This window comes from Homo sapiens, chromosome 8 (assembly GCF_000001405.40).
Source record: "Homo sapiens chromosome 8, GRCh38.p14 Primary Assembly".
Taxonomy (NCBI): Eukaryota; Metazoa; Chordata; class Mammalia; order Primates; family Hominidae; genus Homo; species Homo sapiens.
Genome location: NC_000008.11, coordinates 15435030 through 15454077, shown reverse-complemented (window position 1 = coordinate 15454077; position 19048 = coordinate 15435030). Strand labels below are relative to the sequence as shown.

The window sequence follows — 19048 nt, the reverse complement described above, 5'->3', positions numbered from 1 at the left end:
CATGCATAGTGCATTTACTGGAGGTGTACACATGCTAATTTGAGGCATTCCTCCCTTACCAATCAAATGTCCCTAGGAGGTAATATACCAGTTAATCTCTGCCATTTTGCCTCTTAGTGTACATGCTTGAGCCCACTTGCCCAACTCCTGAGATCTTAATGGGAAGCTGGTGATCACCAGTTTCAGGTGTTTCTATCTATAGAGAGACTGCCTTTCCCTGGTGCTGGTTGCAACCAATTATTTTAGAGAGACAGTTAACCACATGACACCACCTAGTGGTCGCCTGACATTCCTGGTTGTGGGTAGGGGGAGCCCTCTCCCGCCCTGCTCTGTCTGACTACCTGCCCACTGTAACAAGAATAATTCTCTGTGTAATTATACTAAGTCCCAAGTGATTAATGTAAGTAAAATATTCCATAAATATATTTAAGTTGTGTTTGTCTGTGTCTTGGCTAGTCAGCAAATTCATGCATTTATGCATTTGTTGAAAATGAGGCAGTCATCGCTAATGAAACTGCAGCTAGATGGGAGAAGAAAGTGATTTGATAAATGCTTCATAGCAGTTGCATTAAGTCAATTTGCACAAGTTGACAAGACTCAAAAGCCTGATAGAGAAATCACCGTTTTTTATTTAAAGATGCTGACAAGAAAAGGGGCTAGGAGCTACTTGCTTTTTTAGTGGTGCCATAAAAGTAAGCAGGCAATGCCATCTACAGTAAATGAACATTGAATAAGTATATATACTTATTCATTTTATTTAGTAATTTAGGAAGAAGAGTTTATTGCTTTCATGGTTTGCAGACATGGTTAAAATTTGAAAATAATTATGGCAAGTAATAATCATTACCACGCTAATGTGAAGTCATATGGACAGACATTCTTCAGAAACACTCCCAGTTGGCAGTTTCTGAGCAATCACATGTATAAGCTGTGTGTTGGCCTTTACAAAAAGCACCATGGATGAAACTAGCTCTCAAGTCTAGATACCAAAATCTCAAACCTATCTATATATTGCGTTTAATCCTAGATACTGTTTCTAGTTATGCAGTTCCTCAGGGTACTAGAGTCCTCTTATTAAAAGTGGTACTTGTGACGGGGGAGTGGTCGCTATCTGGTCTGGTGGTGCAGGGATAAAAGAACTTACCAAGACAATTGTAGGTAAAGAAAGGCAGATGTATTAAAAAAAAGTATGAAATTATATTGCAAGAAGGCAATGGGCAGACCAGCACAAGAGGAGCTTACTGTAAGGAAACAAAAGCTTCCTGGAGATTTTATAGGATGGTTCTTGGGCTGCAGAGTGCTACATGCAGTACTGGTAATGTCAAGGCTGCAGTGAGCCAACTTGAATTTATCAGCCCAGGGTCTGGTGATAGCTGGGGACAGGAAGATTGTGACACACAAAGCAAAGACTATTTGTGCAGGAGAGCTACGTGTCCTGGACTACAAAGCAAGGCAGACGTAAGTCTGCCTTATAGCTTATCTGCTTTCTCTTTTTGCTTTCCCCTCCTCCCACTAGCTTGGCTCCTCTTCCCTAATTAGGGCTCCACAGTACTAATATGTTTTACCTTTTAAAGTTTGAGAAAGTTGCAGAAACTAAGGAGATATCATCTATAACTGATAAATTGTTATTCTGGAAGAAAAAAGGTAAATTCCATATGAATTTAATTAAAGGCGTGAGTAATCAGTTGTTCTTTGCCCTCATTTGATCTTTTGCTATTTAATTTACAAATTCATCCAAATTTTGTGTTTGATCTTGAGAAATTCAGCATTTATACCTAGAACTCAACACATTCAACAGGTTTAGAAAGAGGAGGAAGTGAGAAGAAAGTCAGCGAAAATTTTTCATAACTTAAGAATATGGTTGTTTGTAGAAATTAAATGTGAAATTATAGTTAAAGCACTTTAACATGTTTTTCTCACACATAACACTCAATAACTTCACGGTTAACGTCATGTAAAACACTATTACCATTAAATTCAGTTGCTAGAGTCACATGAAGGAGTTGGAGGGAGCCAGGCAGTGGGGATGGTGCTGAGTGGTTTCATGTTTTACTTTAATTACTCTTGTAAGACATCATCACTCTTTTGGCTGCCTTTTATGTGGAAAGGCCTCACATTATAAAAACTGAAAATGCTACTGTATAGCAAAAAAACTGTTTTTCCTCTTCTATACTCTCACAACACTTCTGGTCACCAAAATGTGTGGGGATTTTTTTCCCCCACACAAAGCAATTTTCTACTTTCCTTAGACACCATCCTACCATTTAACTCAACTCAGACACTATCTTTCTGGAGAGAGCATCAGACCCCACAGGTGAAGGACTCAGTCACACAATATTGCCCCCATCGATTGCAAGCCCAGGTTCTCACCTGTGCTTTTGTCCTAAAGGTTCCCACTATCCCTTCCTCAGGTTCAATTACTATTACTCTTTTATTCTAAGAGGATACAACTAAGGAACAACTAGATGGAAGAGATGCATTTGGCAAGGTATAGGGAAAGGGGTGTGGAGCTTCTATGCACTCTCCCGCTGTGCCACTGTCCCAGCACCTCCAAGTGTTAAGCAACCTGCAGAGTCTCCAATCCTATCCTTTTGGCTTTTTATGGAGGCTTCATTATGTAGCCATGATTGGTTAAATCATTGGCCATTGGTGATCAACTCGCCCTTCAGCCCCTCTCCCCTCTGAGAAGGTCAGGGGGCTGAAAGTTCCAACTCTCTAATTGCTTGGTTGATCTGAGCTACCCAGGAGGCCCCAGCCACAATCACCTCATTAGCATACAGAAACACACTTATTACTAAAGGGATTCCAGGGTTTCAGGAGCTGTATGCCAGGAAACTAAGAGAAAGACCAAATATAGATATAAGTAACATTATACTGTGATACAAGAAATAAGACATATATATGTGTCTTATATCTTATTATATCATGATATCACAACCACATACTTGATCCTCTAGCTTCCCTCTGTAGCTAGGATGCAGGGTCATGACCCAGCATTATGGATTAGATTTTGAACCCAAAGCTAGTGATGTTCAGGAAAAAGGTTTGTGAAGTTTCCTTTCTGGAAGCTGCAGTTCTCAGGCAGGATTGACCATGGTGTTAGTCATGGGGTCAAGTTCACTGCCAGAAGGGTCAGCTAGGCAAGCTGCTCAGACCAGAACTCAGCAGCGGCATGTTTCAGGCATTGTTTCTGCCTGTGGAGGTTTTAAGCCTACTTCTCAAGTCCTCTGGAGGTTCTATGAATTCCCCTTTTAATAAGTTTCTTTTCTGCTGAAAACAGTAAGCCAACATCTGTTTCTGTTTACATTCAATTCAGATCTCTGATTAGTAGAACTTCTGTGTTACTAAGGCTTTCTCCAAAAGCCTGTGTTAACTGTATACTTTTATTATTTTTACTTATTTATTTTTGAGACCGAGTCTCACTCTGTCTCCCAGACTGGAATGCAATGTTGCAATCTTGGCTCACCGTAACCTCTGCCGCCCGGGTTCAAGCTATTCTCCTGCCTCAGCCTCCTGAAAAGCTAGGATTACAGGTGGGGTGAATTTTTGTATTTTTACTAGAGATGGGGTTTCACCATCTTGGTCAGGCTGGGCTTGAACTCCTGACCTTGTGATCTGCCTGCCTTGGTCTCCCCAAGTGCTGGGATTACAGGTGTTAGCCGCCACGCCCAGCCAACTGTATACTTTTAAATAGCACCTTGAGTGGGAAAAGTCAGCCCTAAAAACTCAATTTACCAAAAAATGTTTGCACCAAATATGTATAAAGGGGCAGTTTTCTGAATCATTATTTATTAATACTTTTTAAAGCTTGTTATACAAGTAAAACCTGATTCTTCTAAAAGAAAAAAGAAAAGAAAAATGATAAACAGATAAACACACATATACTTTAAAATGTATCCAGAAACAAATAATGTTAGTAGTAAAGCCTCTCACACTTTTTTTATACATGTTTATAAAGATAAACATACAGTCGTCATGTGTCACTCAATGACAAGAATACGTTCTGAGAAATGCATTGTTAGGCAATTTTGTTGTTGTGCTAAGATCACAGAGGGAACTTAGAAAAACCTAGAGGGATAGCCTCCTGCACACCTAGGCTATGTGGTATAGCCTAGCCTATCGCTCCTAGGCTACAAAGCTGTACAGCATGACTACACTGAATACCACAGGCAATCGTAACACAATGGTAGATATTTATGTATCTAGACATAAAAAAGGTACAGTAAAAAAATAAAGTGTAAGAGATTAAAAAAACGGTCACCTACATAGGGCACTTACCATGAATGGAATTTGCAGGACTGAAAGCTGCTCTGCCTAAGTCAGTGAGTGAGTGATGAAAAATAAAAATTAATTTCTAAGCCCCCAGCAGACTGAAAGGACTCCTTGCGATCAAAGGGACACCAGAGAAAAGGTGGAGGCTGAATTCCTGTGGGATGGGAGGTAAGACGCCTCATTATACTCCCTCCCTCAATAACCTCCATTAGGCTTTTTCCCCTAAGGGCTAAAGAGAAACCAGCAGTTTCAAAAGTCCTCCACCACTGATTTTAACCAACTGCCTGAAGCTGCCCCTCCCTTTTGCTAACTTGAGGCAGTATCTGACCAGCATTCCTTCCTGGTAAGAGACCACCAGCCATGGCGGGGTGGTTCTGACCACTCTATGGAGGATGTGCAGTTAACATTTCCGTGTCCTCTGCTTCACCTTTTGACATCAGAGGGTCAAAAAACTCCACGCTTGAGCCATGCTAACACGGCCATTTTTTGAACATGAGACCGAAGAAAAGGCATGAAGCTTAATTGCACATGTGCCCATTCCTTCTTTCATAAATATTCATGATTCCTCCTATAGCTTACTGAATATGTATATTTGGCCGCTTCCTTCAGCATAAATCCCTGTCCTATTCTTCCCACTCTGGAAATACCTGTTTTCAGCTTCTGGCCAGAGGCTTCACTTCCCAGCTTGTCAGAATGACCATATACAGGCTACAACGCTTTATGAGAAATAAAGCTCTCCTTTCTAAATTTATAGATGTCCTCATTCTTCAGTTAACAGTGGTAAATGAATGTGAAGGCCTGGGACATTACTAGACACTACTATACATTTTCTAAACACTCTACAATTAGTCTATGCTAAATTTATTAAAAAAAATAAAGTAAAAGCACTATGATGTTATAATGGCTACGTCACTAGGTGATAGAAATTTTTCACCTCTACTATGATCTTATGAGATCACCATCATATATAGAGTCTGTTGACCAAAATGCATAACTGTATGGAAAGCTGTGTCCCATACCTATTTTAGCAGTACTCTTTTTTGTTTACAATGCATAAATATCTTTTTGCTGCAATTAAAACATTTTTAGTTTCATAATCCAAATTTTAACACTTGTCTAATAATTTACGTGTTAGACACATTATTTATTTAGCCAATCCTGCAATATTATTGGCTAAAACATTGCTTCTAACACCTCAATATTATAAACACTATTAATATAATAATCTTCTACATCATACACTTTTTACATCTGCTCTACTATTTTCTTAAGAGTAGAACATTTGAAAGACTAGGGAGTTGGGAGGGACATCTGTGAAAGGGTAAAATCTCCAAAAGTTATGCTGATACATGCATTTCACCTTTTATCAGTATAAATTTATACTTTAGGCTGGGCATGGTGGCACATGTCTGTAATCCCAGCACTTTGGGAGGCCAAGGCGGGTGGATTGCCTGAGGCTGGGAGTTTGAGACCAGCCTTGCCAATGTGGTGAAACCTCATCTCTACTAAAAATACAAAAAATAGCAGGGTGTGGTTGCACACATCTGTGATCTCAGCTACTTGAGAGGGTGAGGCATGAGAATTGCTTGAACCCAGGAGGCAGAGGTTGCAGTGAGCTGAGATCGTGCCACTGCACTCTAGCCTGGATGACAGAGCAAGACTCCATCTAAAAAATAAATAAATAAATATATATATATGTATATACACTACCATACAGTTGAATTTTCTGCCCTGACAGGAATGCTTTATATCTGTGCTGTGTGATACGGTAGCCACTAATTATGCCTGGCTATTGATTACTTAAAATATTGCTAGTGTGACTGTAGAACTGAACTTTTCATTTAAATTAACTGTAATGTACATACCCACATGTAGCTACCATGTTGAACAATGTAACTTTATATCCTTTAATTTTTTTGACAATACGTTGTGATATATAAATACGATGAGGGAGTCTCTGTTTTTATGGGTTCTCGCATGGTATCACTTACCATCTCATTTATTTGTAATAGTTTTCTGACATTTTACATCATGTACACTTGATTTCCTACAGAGAGGTGGCGGTAACCTTCCCTAAATAAGAAAAATAAAAGTAAGTAAAAAAAAAAAAAAGACATAATTATGTTCATGCTTTTCAAAGGTAATCATTAGCCTATAGTTCTGAAACATGTTAGTATCAAGAAAGTCAAAAGTGACAGAATCTTTGTGTCAAATCTATTTTAAACATGAATTTGTACATTTTTATTGCTTTTTTCATTGCTTCATAGCCAACGTTTTCGGTTTTGAGTGTTTCCATTTAGAAATATTTGATGACATTTAAAATTTCTTCCTAGGAAACTTTTTAACATTCATTTTTAGTTTCATAATGAAGTAATTTAAACTTGTGTCTTTAATCTCCATTAATGTCACATCTTCCTCATTCATGTGCTTTCATTTATTTTTAATTTTTGTCTTTAGTTTTCTGACAGCTGAAGTACTAACATGCATATAAATTAATTGAGTTATAACGTTTTTCCCTTCAAAACTCCTTAGATCTTGCTCGACTGACTTCTGGATTTTGAGGTTGCTTTATTCAAATATGATAGTAGTTGTTTCTGGGATTTTTGGAAACCTGGTTTTCCTGAATAACTATTCTTGATATTTTTCTTTATAATTTGTCTTTAGCTAAATTTAGGTATACTTATTATGCATATGAACATCCTATATTGTCATCTTGTCATCTTTTCTCATTATCTTATCCTATTTTTTTTTTCTTCTGCATTTGGGAAACAGTATTGAAGTTACTCTCCATGTCAACATTTGATTATTCTTCAAAAGCTTTTCCATTCTTCATTGGGTGTGTGAATTTCCATTTTAATATTGCATTTTTAAGTCTGTATTAATTTTACCTCCTTTGTTTTTTTTTCTGTTACCTACTCATCCTTTTTGTTCACTTTCATCTCCATTTTTTTTCTCTCCACATGAACTTCTGCCTCTCCTTTAAAGAGGCCATGTCTTTATTTAATCTGTAAATTATTCTTAAAGAGTTAAAAAAAAATAGCTCTCCCTCCCCCTCCCCCCTCCCTCCCCCTCTCCTGTCTCCCACTTTCCACGGTCTCCCTCTGATGCCGAGCCGAGGCTGGACTAGACTGCCACCATCTCGGCTCACTGCAACCTCCCTGCCTGATTCTCCTGCCTCAGCCTGCCGAGCGCCTGGGATTGCAGGCGCCCGCCGCCACGCCTGACTCGTTTTTGTATTTTTTGGTGGAGACGGGGTTTCGCCGTGTTGGCCGGGCTGGTCTCCAGCTCCTGACCATGAGTGATCTGCCCGCCTGGGCCTCCTGAGGTGCCGGGATTGCAGACGGAGTCTCGCTCACTCAGTGCTCAATGTTGCCCAGGCTGGAGTGCAGTGGCGTGATCTCGACTCGCTACAACCTCCACCTCCCAGCCACCTGCCTTGGCCTCCCAAAGTGCCGAGATTGCAGCCTCTGCCCGGCCGCCACCCCGTCTGGGAAGTAAGGAGCATCTCTGCCTGGCTGCCCAGTCTGGGAAGTGAGGAGCGCCTCTTCCCGGCCGCCATCCCATCTAGGAAGTGAGGAGCCTCTCTGCCCGGCCACCCAACGTCTGAGATGTGGGGAGCGCCTCTGCCCCGATGCCCCGTCTGGGATGTGAGGAGCGCCTCTGCCCGGCCGCGACCCCGTCTGGGATCTGAGGAGTGTCTCTGCCCAACCGCCACCCCGTCTGGGAGGTGAGGAGCGTCTCTGCCCCACCACCCCTTCTGAGAAGTGAGGAGCCCCTCCGCCCGGCAGCCGGCCCGTCTGGGAAGTGAGGAGCGTCTCCGCCGGGCAGCTGCCCCATCCGCGAGGTGGGGGGCAGCCCCCGTCCGGCCAGCCGCCCCGTCCGGAAGGTGGGGGGCGCCTCCGCCCGGCCGCCCCGTCTGGGAAGTGAGGAGCCCCTCTGCCCGGCCGCCACCCCGTCTACCATCTGGGAGGTGTACCCAACAGCTCATTGAGAACAGGCCATGATGACGATGGTGGTTTTGTCGAATAGAAAAGGGGGAAATGTGGTAAAAAGAAACAGAGATCAGATTGTTACTGTGTCTGTGTAGAAAGAAGTAGACATAGGAGACTCCATTTTGTTTTGTACTAAGAAAAATTCCTCTGCCTTGGGATGCTGTTAATCTATAACCTTACCCCCAACCCAGTGCTCTCTGAAACATGTGCTGTGTCCACTCAGGGTTAAATGGATTAAGGGCGGTGCAAGATGTGCTTTGTTAAACAGATGCTTGAAGGCAGCATGCTCGTTAAGAGTCATCACCACTCCCTAATCTCAAGTACCCAGGGACACAAACACTGCGGAAGGCCGCAGGGTCCTCTGCCTAGGAAAACCAGAGATCCTTGTTCACATGTTTATCTGCTAACCTTCCCACCACTATTGTCCTATGACCCTGCCAAATCCCCCTCTCTGAGAAACACCCAATAATGATCAATAAATACTAAAAAAAAAAAAAATAAAATCCTGGGATAGATCAGTTTTAGAGTTTTACTTTTTCCTGGAGACCCAGAAGAGATGATAGTTTTCTCCTTATTCTCAAACTATTGAATAGCCTAAACTTGGCTGTCATTCTTAGTCATCCCTAATCCAAGGAGATCCCATCCAGACCCACGGTCATTGAATTTTCCTTTTTCCTGCTTTCTACCCATGTATTTGCAGTTGAAGGGCTATGTTCACAGCTTCCTGTCAAATTTTTTGTTTCTAATAAGAATTTTCTCCATTAATCTGCTTTTTTTCCTCCATTGCCTAGTTCTCTGGTACCTAAACTGACATAGCACAGGAAAAATGAGTTTCCCAGCTTGTCCTTCTCCTGCATCTGAAGTTCGTAGAGTGCACAGCACCAGCGCTCTGCTCTTACCTCCCTTCCAGGAGTTTGCCGGGACTTTGACATTTCTCCCAGGATGAAGAAAACCAACAAATGGAAAGATGAGGGAAAGAAGAAATAGTATCCACTTGCCTCACTGGTCACCATTTTAAGAGGGTAAGAAGACATTTTATTTTTTTTTCTATACATATAAGAAATGCTACATTTCTGAGTTAGAGAACCGATACTTGGGAGATACTGACAAAGATTCTCTCCTTGACCAAATTCTAGTCAGCCTCTGCTGTACACTCTTCTAAAATGGGCTCTGATTTGGGGCTTCTGTGTTCATCTCTGCATTTGTCTAATTTTAAGCAAGAATCTTGCTAAGTCAATTTAGCCATAATTCCCCACTCTCCCTATCTGATCAGGTTCGTCATCTTCCACCATCCCCAGGTAATGTCTCATTACCCTGGTCTGCCTACAGCAAGAATCCTGTTAGGTTGCTTTAACCTTATGCCTGATATTTCCTCTTAGTTATTTTCCATCTACTGCTATCTCCCCTGACTCACTCCTTGGCTATAAATTCCCACTTTTCCTTGTATTGAAGTTGAGTCCAGTCTGTAACCCCTACTGCAAAAGCTCATTGCAGTAGTCCCTACACCTATCATGACCGTCTCCTTGAATAGAGTCTGCTTCAACAAGTGTCATGAAGAGTCTTGTCTTTAACAGCATGAAGGCTCGTCTTACTTTTCAGGTAGTCTATTTCATGAAGCAAAGATGCAGTGTGTCATATACTGCAGCTGGAGTACTTTATGTTTGTGTCAATTAATTGCTTATGAATATAATACAAAAATTAGCACTGGACACTAGACAGGGGAATCGCAATAGAGAAGGAGTAATTCATACAGAACTGGTTCTGTGGGAGACCAGGGTTTTATTACTACTTAAATCAGTTTCCCCGAGCATTCAGGGGTCAGAGTTTTTAAGGACAGCTTGGTGGGGTGGGGGAAGCCAGTGAGCCAGGAGTGCTGATTGGTTAGGCAGAATTGAAGTTGTCCTCTTGGGCTGAGTCAGTTCCCGGGTGGGGGCCACAAGATCAGGTGAGCCAGTTTATCCGTCTGGGTGGTGCCAGCTAATCCATCAACTGCAGGGTCTGCAAAGTATCTTAAGCACTAATCCTGGAGCAGCTTAGGGAGGGTGAGAATCTTGTAGCGCCCAGCTGCGTGACTCCTAAACCATAATTTCTCATCTTGTGGCTAGTTTGTTAGTCCTACAAAGGCAGTCTAGTCTCCAGGCAAGAAGCAGCTTTGTTTTGGGAAAGGGCTGTTATCATCTTTGTTTTAAACTATAAATTAAGTTCCTCCCAAAGCTAGTTCAGCCTACACCCAGGAAGGAATAAGAACAGCTTAAAGGTTAGAAGCAAGATGGATTCGGTTAATTTAGATCTCTTTCACTGTCTCAGTCATAATTTTCAAAGGTGGTTTCACCACTCTTGTAATCCTAGCACTTTGGGAAGCTGAGGCAGGCAGATCACTCGAGCCCAGAAGTTCAAGACCACCCTAGGCAACATGGTGAAACCCCATCTTTACACACACACACACACACACACACACACACACACACACACACACAATTAGGTGGGTGTGGTGTTGTATACCTGTAGTCCCAGCTATTTCATAGGCTGAGGTGGAAGGATCAGTCCAGGAGCTCGAGACTGCAGTGAGCTGTGATCACACCACTGCACTCCAGCACTCCAGCCTGGGTGACAGTGTGAGATGCCTTCTAAAAAAAAGAAAGGAAGGAAGGAAGGAAGGAAGAAAAAAGAAAAAAATGTCAGATTTTATTTAAACTACTACAGTAGGGGAGAGAGACTTCAGTATACAACTGAGCTGAACTCTGAAGATAGCAAAAACAGCTGAGGATTTATAGCCCACAGTGGAGTGAAGGGGTTACTGGACAGAAAATTATAAAAGGGAAACATCAAGCTTAAAGAGGATTCTTGCATAACTAGCTTAACCAACTAAAGGCAGATTGAGGAGTTAGATAATAAGAGTCGGGGGAGAGAAACTTGATCAGATATGAAGGGTGGGAAGATTCTTGTCTACAACTGGGCTCCATGCACCATGGATACAGAAGACCAAGGCTGAGGTCTAGTAGGGAAGAGGACTCAGAGGAGCCTGACTAAAGTTTGGTCAAGGAGGAAGTCTTTGTTATCAATGACATTCATTCCTCCTATATTCTTTCATCAGGATGATTCTGTCTTCCTATCCTGATGACAGAATCTAGAAGGAATGAATGTCATTAATAACAAAGGGGTTGGGGGAGGTGTCTGTGGATGGAAAATTACTAAGAGAAACATCAGGAGTAAGGCATTTATCAGTCTTACTTTTTAATATTGTGCATGTTCCTCCTGTACCATGTTTTTATGTGTATTTTAGTAAGAAAGTAAACAATCCACTGGGAACAGCTAATCAGATCACCTTTTTAAATAAAACTTTATTAGTTTTGTTAGAAAGCAACAAATGAGCACTTTCTTTCATGGGGATTTAAAATTAGCCCTTCTAATAACTTTACCTTTTTTCTACTCTTTATTCTTTCCTATTATTTATCAAATAAATAAAACCTTTACCTTTAAAAAAAATACTTCCTCAAGTCACTTTTAGAGATTTTTCAGATTACTTTCTTAGAGAAATAATGTAACTTAAAATTATAAATAAAATACATGATTGGTATGAATAGTATAGGTAGTATAAATTGCAACAGGTAATTGACAAAAATCGTATATATACTATATTTGACAAAGAAGTAATAAGAATGAAGAAAAAAAATCCCTAAATCCATAAAAGAGTTAAACACATTCAAATCCTAATAGTTTGGAGTCAGTGTTAATACTAAATGTTTTCTGAAAGCCATTTAAAAAAAGGAAGCCCAGTCAGTTATATGATTTAAGAGTCCCTATATGATAAGAACAAACCAACTTATCGGGAAACAAATAGCTATTTTGGGGGAATGAGACCGGATAGGAGTTTCTCCTGGGGACTTGCTTTCAGATCATTAAAATGAATACAAGATCCATTCATATAGCTGGTATCTAGTAAAATCACTTGTTTGGTTGACATTGTGCTTAGAGAAGCATAATCAAAAAGCTCTATATCATCCCACCTGCTGGGTCATCCAGTCTGGAACACTCAGGACACCTCATGTCAGCTTTCATCACTGCTTCAATACATACCCCCTGTTCTCTGTAATAATATTCAAGTATTTTTTACACTTCTTCACAACTGAATAATTGAATAATTTCTGTTGGTAGACGTGCTTATTAAGGAATGAGAAATGTCCCTAATATTGATAAGAGAACAGTTGTCCTTTTGTTAATTCTCAGCATAGCCTATTATGCATTCTAACAATTCTCCATGTCTATGAGCATATTTTCTTTCCATTCAAGTATCTATGTTCCAAGAATATCACTGATATTGTTTGGGGCTAAACAATCTTTTTGAATTTAATAAATATTATTTTTATAGGAATATAATGACAGATCTCATTTACTTACTTAATTTTTTTGAGAGAGTCTCGCTGTCTCACCCAGCCTGGAGTGCAGTGACGCGATCTCGGCTCACTGAAAACTCCACCTCCTGGGCTCAAGCAATTCTCCTGCCTCAGCCTCCTGAGTAGCTGGGATTACAGCCACGTGCCACCATGCCCGACTAATTTTTGTATTTTCAGTAGAGACGGGGTTTCGTCATGTTGACAAGACTGGTTTTGAACTTCTGACCTGTGGCGATCCACCTGTCTCAGCCTCCCAAAGTGCTGGGATTACAGGCGTGAGCCACTGTGCCTGGCCATCACTTACTTGATTTTTAATTTAGTATTAATTTAATTATTAGGGCAGTTTTAGTTGCAAATGAAAGAAACCAAACTTAAATTAGCTTAAACAAAAATGGAGAATCTATTAGGCAATGCAATTCCAGAAATAGTACTTGCCTCCAGCACCTCTACATCTATGAACCCGCAAAACTTACTAGAAATTGGTCCATCAACATAACTTGGCAATGGTTTCCTCTTTGTTAGAGTTATCCTCAAGCAAGCTCTCTATCTGGGGAGGCAGTTGCTAGCATCTCCAACCTAAAGCTGGTATGTATTAACATCCCTATCAAAAGTAGTCTCTCTCTTCCCAGTAGTTCCTGAACAATCTTTGGAATGAAGAAGACATAGTTTCCTGAAGAATATCATAGTGTCTATTCTAGAGAAGTTCACACTGACATGCACAAACCAGCTCGCACATGGAAATATATTTTTTGTAGCATTGTTTAAAATAGAGGAAAAATGCAATCAATAAAAGAATGCTTAAGTCAATTCTAATATTCCATCCTGTAAGATGCTATGCCTCAATTTCTTTAACAGACTTCTAACTAGTCTGTTTGATTCTCCTCTGGCCCCTCCCAACTCATCCTTCACACGGCAACATCAGTGAGATTTGTTACAATAAAAATTAGTTCTGTTATTCTCTGCTTTAAATCCTTCAATCGTTTCCCATTGCTCTTGTGAAAAATACCAAAATTCTGCATAGATCCTCAAGACACTGTCTAATCATTCTGGGTTTCTACTTGGGCCCACCTCCCACCTCTCCTTCCCTTTCTCCAAGCCCATCCCATATTGGCTTTATTTGTTGGATCTGTCATACTCCCAATGGCCACAGGGACTTTGCATGTGTTGTTTCCACTGCCCGTAAAGTTCTCAGCTCTACTCCTCTCTTTGGTTTGTTAACTTCTGTTCACCTTTCAGCCCTCAGCTGAAGCCTCATTTCCTCGGGAAGCAGTTTAAATCCCAGCCCAAAATCATAGAAATGTTCCTTCTTTCAGGGCAATTATCTCAGCTTGTAGTTACACATGCGTAAGTGGGATAATTTGATGAAAGCCTATCTCAAAATGCCATGAGAGTAGGGGCCAGGTTTGCCTTTACTTATCCCTGTGCCTGGTATAGAGTGGACACTCACTATATAATTGTTAAATGAATGGATGAAATAATTTAACTAGTATCTGTTGCATTACTTGTAAGAAGCAAAATGATGCAATGATTCAAAAGGAAGATTTTTGTTACTAATGAACCAAGAGACTGAATGTACTTGGAGTAGACAGATTTGTATGGTGACAGACTAGTGCAAGGCAGAAATGAATAAAGACTATATAGAAGGATCAAACACTGGAGGGAAATACTTATTAAGATAAAAGAGATAACACAGTATGTCTAAAAAATAAAAAAGAACTACTCTGTAATTTAAAGCACTTGAGATCTAGTCCTCACTCCCAAATTTGTATAAACAAAAGAATCTAACTTTGTTAAAACACAGTGTTGTGTATGACTTCCATTTGCCCTTTCATGTTTTTCTGTTTTTGTTTTTGTTTTCATTTTGAGACAGGGTCTTGCTCTGTCACCCAGGCTGGAGGGCAGTGGTGTAACCACGGTTCACTTCAGCCTCAACCTCCTAGGCTCAAGTGATCCTCCCATCTCAGCCTCCTGAGTAGCTGGAACTACAGGAACATCCTACAACACTCAGCTATTGTTTGTAGAAATAAGGACTCACTGTGTTGCCCAGGCTGGTCTCAAACTCCTGGGCTCAAACAATCCTCCCACCTCAGCTTCCTAAAGTGCTGGGATTACAAGCATGAGCCACTGTGCCTGGCATTTTTTTGTCCTTCACCATCTTGCTCTGTAATTTAGTTGGCTGATTACTATGGACTGCATCACTGGGTTTCCTGGGTCGCTGGCTACCACTTCAGTCTGGTTTGTGAAAGCAATTGTGATAGGTCAGAGGGAAATGGGTGAAGGTCAGCCCTTCTTCTCCTGGCTTCATCCCTGATGGATGTATATGGACGAGTTGCATTCCCAGACTAAGGTCACAGTGCCGTCAAATAGCCCTCTCTCTCTGGGTTCAATCCTTGCTCCTTCCGGTCAGAGGGTATAGATTGCCTCGACCAACGCCTGAGTAACAGCAATTGGCTACTGCACTGTGTTTTGTAGATTCCTCTCCTTGCGACCACACCATTTTAAATTGGGTGCTTATTAAACTCTCCTCAAATTACCTAAATTGAATGTACTGTGTGTTTCCCACCAGGGCTCTGCATATTCACTCATCATCTTTGAGATGGGGATAATATCTGCTCTGCCTAGCTCCTAGGATTGTCAGGAGAAATTTACCCAATATATTTTTCAGTGCAATTTGAGAATTGCACTAAATGAAGTCCTATATAAGAGCAAGGACTGTTATTCTACAGAACATTATGCCTGGCACAAGGTCAGCATTCAGTTTGCTGATGTAAAGTATTCAATTTACTGAGTGTATTACAGATGAAACCATCTTTGCTGAGCAAAGGTGGTCCCATGAATAGTATTAGTAGATTGGCCTTTCAGTGTTTCACAGGAGCACCAAAAATCTCTCACCCACGAGTCTACCTCAAGTTTCTGAAATTCTCAGCAGAAACAATAACACCTCCAATTATTAAGGTTCCAGGACTATACCAGGCACCATGCACATACTTTATATGCAGCATCTCCTATAACACAACAACCCCTGGCTGGGCGCGGTGGCTCACGCCTGTAATCCCAGCACTTTGGGGGGCCGAGGCAGGCGGACCACCTGAGGTCTGGAGTTTGAGACTAGCCTGACCAACATGGAGAAACCCTGTCTCTACTAAAAAGTACAAAAATTAGCTGGGCGTGGTGGCGCATGCCTGTAATCCTAGCTGCTTGGGAGGCTGAGGCAGGAGATTCAGTTGAACCCAGGAGACGGAGATTGCAGGGAGCCGAGACTGTGCCATTGCACTCCAGCCTGGGTAACGAGTGAAACTCCGTCTCAAAAAACCCAACAAAACACACATCGACAACAAAGCTAAAAAAACACAACAACCTCATTTCACAGGTGAGGAAACTGATATTCAGAAATATTTAACAACCTGCTGGTAAGAAGTAGAAAGACCTTATAACAAATGTCTGTACAGTTCCAAAGCTTTTATTCTGCCTGCTTCTCATACGACCACTTTGGGATAATGTTTTCAAGTTGGAGTTATCCTGTTATCTCAACAGGGTGCATTCATTTTATACACGAGCAGAGGTGAATTTAATAGATGAGTATCTCAGTGCAGGTGTTCTGAGTCCTTAAGGCATGACTGTAGGAGAAAATCTGAAACTCGAGGTATAGATCCTGGTTTCCATGAGCAAACAATATTTCTACTTTCCAGTGCTTCCAAAGGGTGCAGCTGGAAGGATACAGGGCCAAGTGTTGCCTCTGTTATTTCAAAGCGAGTCCTACTTTTAGTTATACATATACCTTTTTATAACTTAGGCAAAGCTTCAGATCTTAATAGGAGATGATTGTCTTAATGTATCTCATCTGCACTACAGTTTCTTAATGCTTTTGAAGTTCTAAAATAGTACAAGAGAAAGTTAAAAATTCTTTTCATTGCTGCATCCTTCAAATTCAAACCAAATATTAATAGTAGAAGCTCTAAGCACTTATAACAGCCACAGAATAAAATCACGAATCTCTTTCTGGATGACATAAGCCATAAAAAATTAAGAAACATTTCAGAAACATTAGGAAAAATAAAAGCTGCTTAGAAATGTAGTAAACAGAGATATGTAGGTCTAGACTAAACAGCCTCAAGTTTATAACCCCTTTTGCTTTTATCTGATGAAATAAATGGTACATGTGAATTGCTGGAAAAGTTTTGCCCATTAAACTTTGCAATTATCTCCTATTCTTTGTTCATGTAATACAATTAATACAATTACTATGGGACTAATGATTAGTGCATGATTAGTTATATTTTAGGGGAAACAGAACTTTTCAGGTCTCTGCAGTTTTAGAGATATCTTAATTTGACTCAAAAGACTAATTTCCTTTAAACTTTTAAGTAATGGAAAACAATTTTTGAGAAAATTGTTCCCATTTCCTGTGTTCATGCATCAATTTTAAATAGCCAGTTGTGTACTATTGTGAGAATCGCTATAAATTCTAATTTGCTTAATAGGAAAAGATTGATCTGAATTATCAACAAGATGTAAACAATAAAAAATATGCACTGCCCTAAAAGTCAAAATACCTGGGTTATACTTCAGACTGTGCCTCTTCCTATACACAGGCTTATGAGTTAACCTCTGTATTTTTAATCTGTAAGACAGTCTTACAGCTGTGAATGAGGTGAGTGACACTTGCACACTATGAAACACCTATAGAAATTGGTCATTTTCTTATGAAATGTGTATTTTTTTTGTGAAAGTTCTGGGTTTTTTGCAGGTAATTACTTATTGTTCTTTTATATACATAGTCAATAAGTAATGCAATCACAATCTGAACCCATGATTAACATAAAAAATCATGCTCTGTACTCCATACGGTTTATATGAAGACTTCAGAAACATTAGTTGTTCTTAACCTCTATTTCTTCGGCATAAAATGAAAAAGTACAAACTAGCTCACAAGGTTATGCTGAAGATCAAGTTAGTCTAAACAAAACAGCAAAGCGGAGGTCTAACATGGTAGATCCTCACTGTTGGTCGAATCTAAAATTTAGAACTATGGCAGGTTACATTTAAAAAGATAACTGGCCAATAGACATTCCATCCCACATGCTCTCATTACAAACTGCCATTGATGTAAGTCCACGAGGCAGGGATCTACTTCCTTTCCTTTTGATAACCGTCAAAACCAATACCAGGCAGCAGATGTGACTGTATGACTTCTATGGCTACATTCTTAGGCAACGTGGCTTCTGCCATGTTCTGTCTCTCAGACCACTCTCTTTGAGGGAAGCCAGCATTCCATGAGGATAGTCAGGAAACCCTATGAGAAGAACTGAGGACCCCAGTCCATGGCTAACTTCAAAGTACCAGGTATGTGAATGAGCGATCTTGAAAAAGGGTATTCCAGCCTCAGTCAAGGCTTCAGATAACTGCAGCCCCAGTCAACATACGTCTGTGATGGCATCAGAGATTCTGCTTCAGAAAAGACTCCCCAGACAAAGCTTCTCCAAAACCCTAACCAACAGAAGCAATGTGAAATAAAAATACTGTTTAAGCCACTAAGCTTTGGAGGTAATCTGTTACAAAGATAGAAAATACATTAAGAAAAAAAAGAACCATTGTTCAAGTTGTTCATTAAACTCTATATGGAAATTGCAACGCTATGCCTATCCAGATTCCAAGAGCAATGTAGGCCAAGTTAAATTCCTTAAAAATCCTTATTTCTCACTTTATATGCTCAAATGTAAGGTGAGATTTTTATTCCTCTAAGTCAACCTGCTAAAAAGAGGGAGTCAATTTATACATACATTTTAATAAAATCTTGCATATGTTTTAGGCACCAGGTACCTCTAAAGAGTTTCAATATAATTGTTTCATGATGTTGGAAATTGGAAACAGTCCAGTACTTCTATATTAGTATTTTGTTTTATATAATATGCTATTTGAAATATGCATGCATCATCAATGTTATTGAAATATTTTCTGTAGACATTTGAGTACTTCACTATATTCCTTAAGTTTATGTATTAAAATCAAAAAAATTTTCAAGCCCTTTCCATTAATATATAAGGAATGAGTTTTGAGAAGTGTCTGTTCATATCCTTCGCCCACTTGTTGCATTTATGCAGCCAAAAGACACATGAAAAAATGCTCATCATCACTGGCCACCAGAGAAATGCAAATCAAAACCACAATGAGATACCATCTCACACCAGTTAGAATGGCGATCATTAAAAAGTCAGGAAACAACAGGTGCTGGAGAGGATGTGGAGAAATAGGAACACTTTTACAATGTTGGTGGGACTGTAAACTAGTTCAACCATTGTGGAAGTCGGTGTGGCGATTCCTCAGGGATCTAGAACTAGAAATACCATTTGACCCAGCCATCCCATTACTGGGTATATACCCAAAGGATTA

At 40.3% G+C, this 19048-nt stretch overlaps 1 protein-coding gene and 1 long non-coding RNA gene across 5 annotated transcripts in view; one reads left to right on the top strand and one right to left on the bottom strand.

Moving 5' to 3' along the window:
* The window catches only part of TUSC3 (tumor suppressor candidate 3), a 434904-nt gene that overhangs the window by 398014 nt on the left and 17842 nt on the right, over nt 1-19048 (bottom strand). The gene's annotated exons all lie outside the window — the stretch shown is intronic.
* Nucleotides 9030-19048, top strand: part of LOC124902059 (uncharacterized) — a 59776-nt gene continuing 49757 nt past the window's right edge. The window contains exon 1 of the long non-coding RNA XR_007061172.1: nt 9030-9286. This is a non-coding gene — a long non-coding RNA (uncharacterized LOC124902059). The remainder of the gene's footprint in view (nt 9287-19048) is intronic.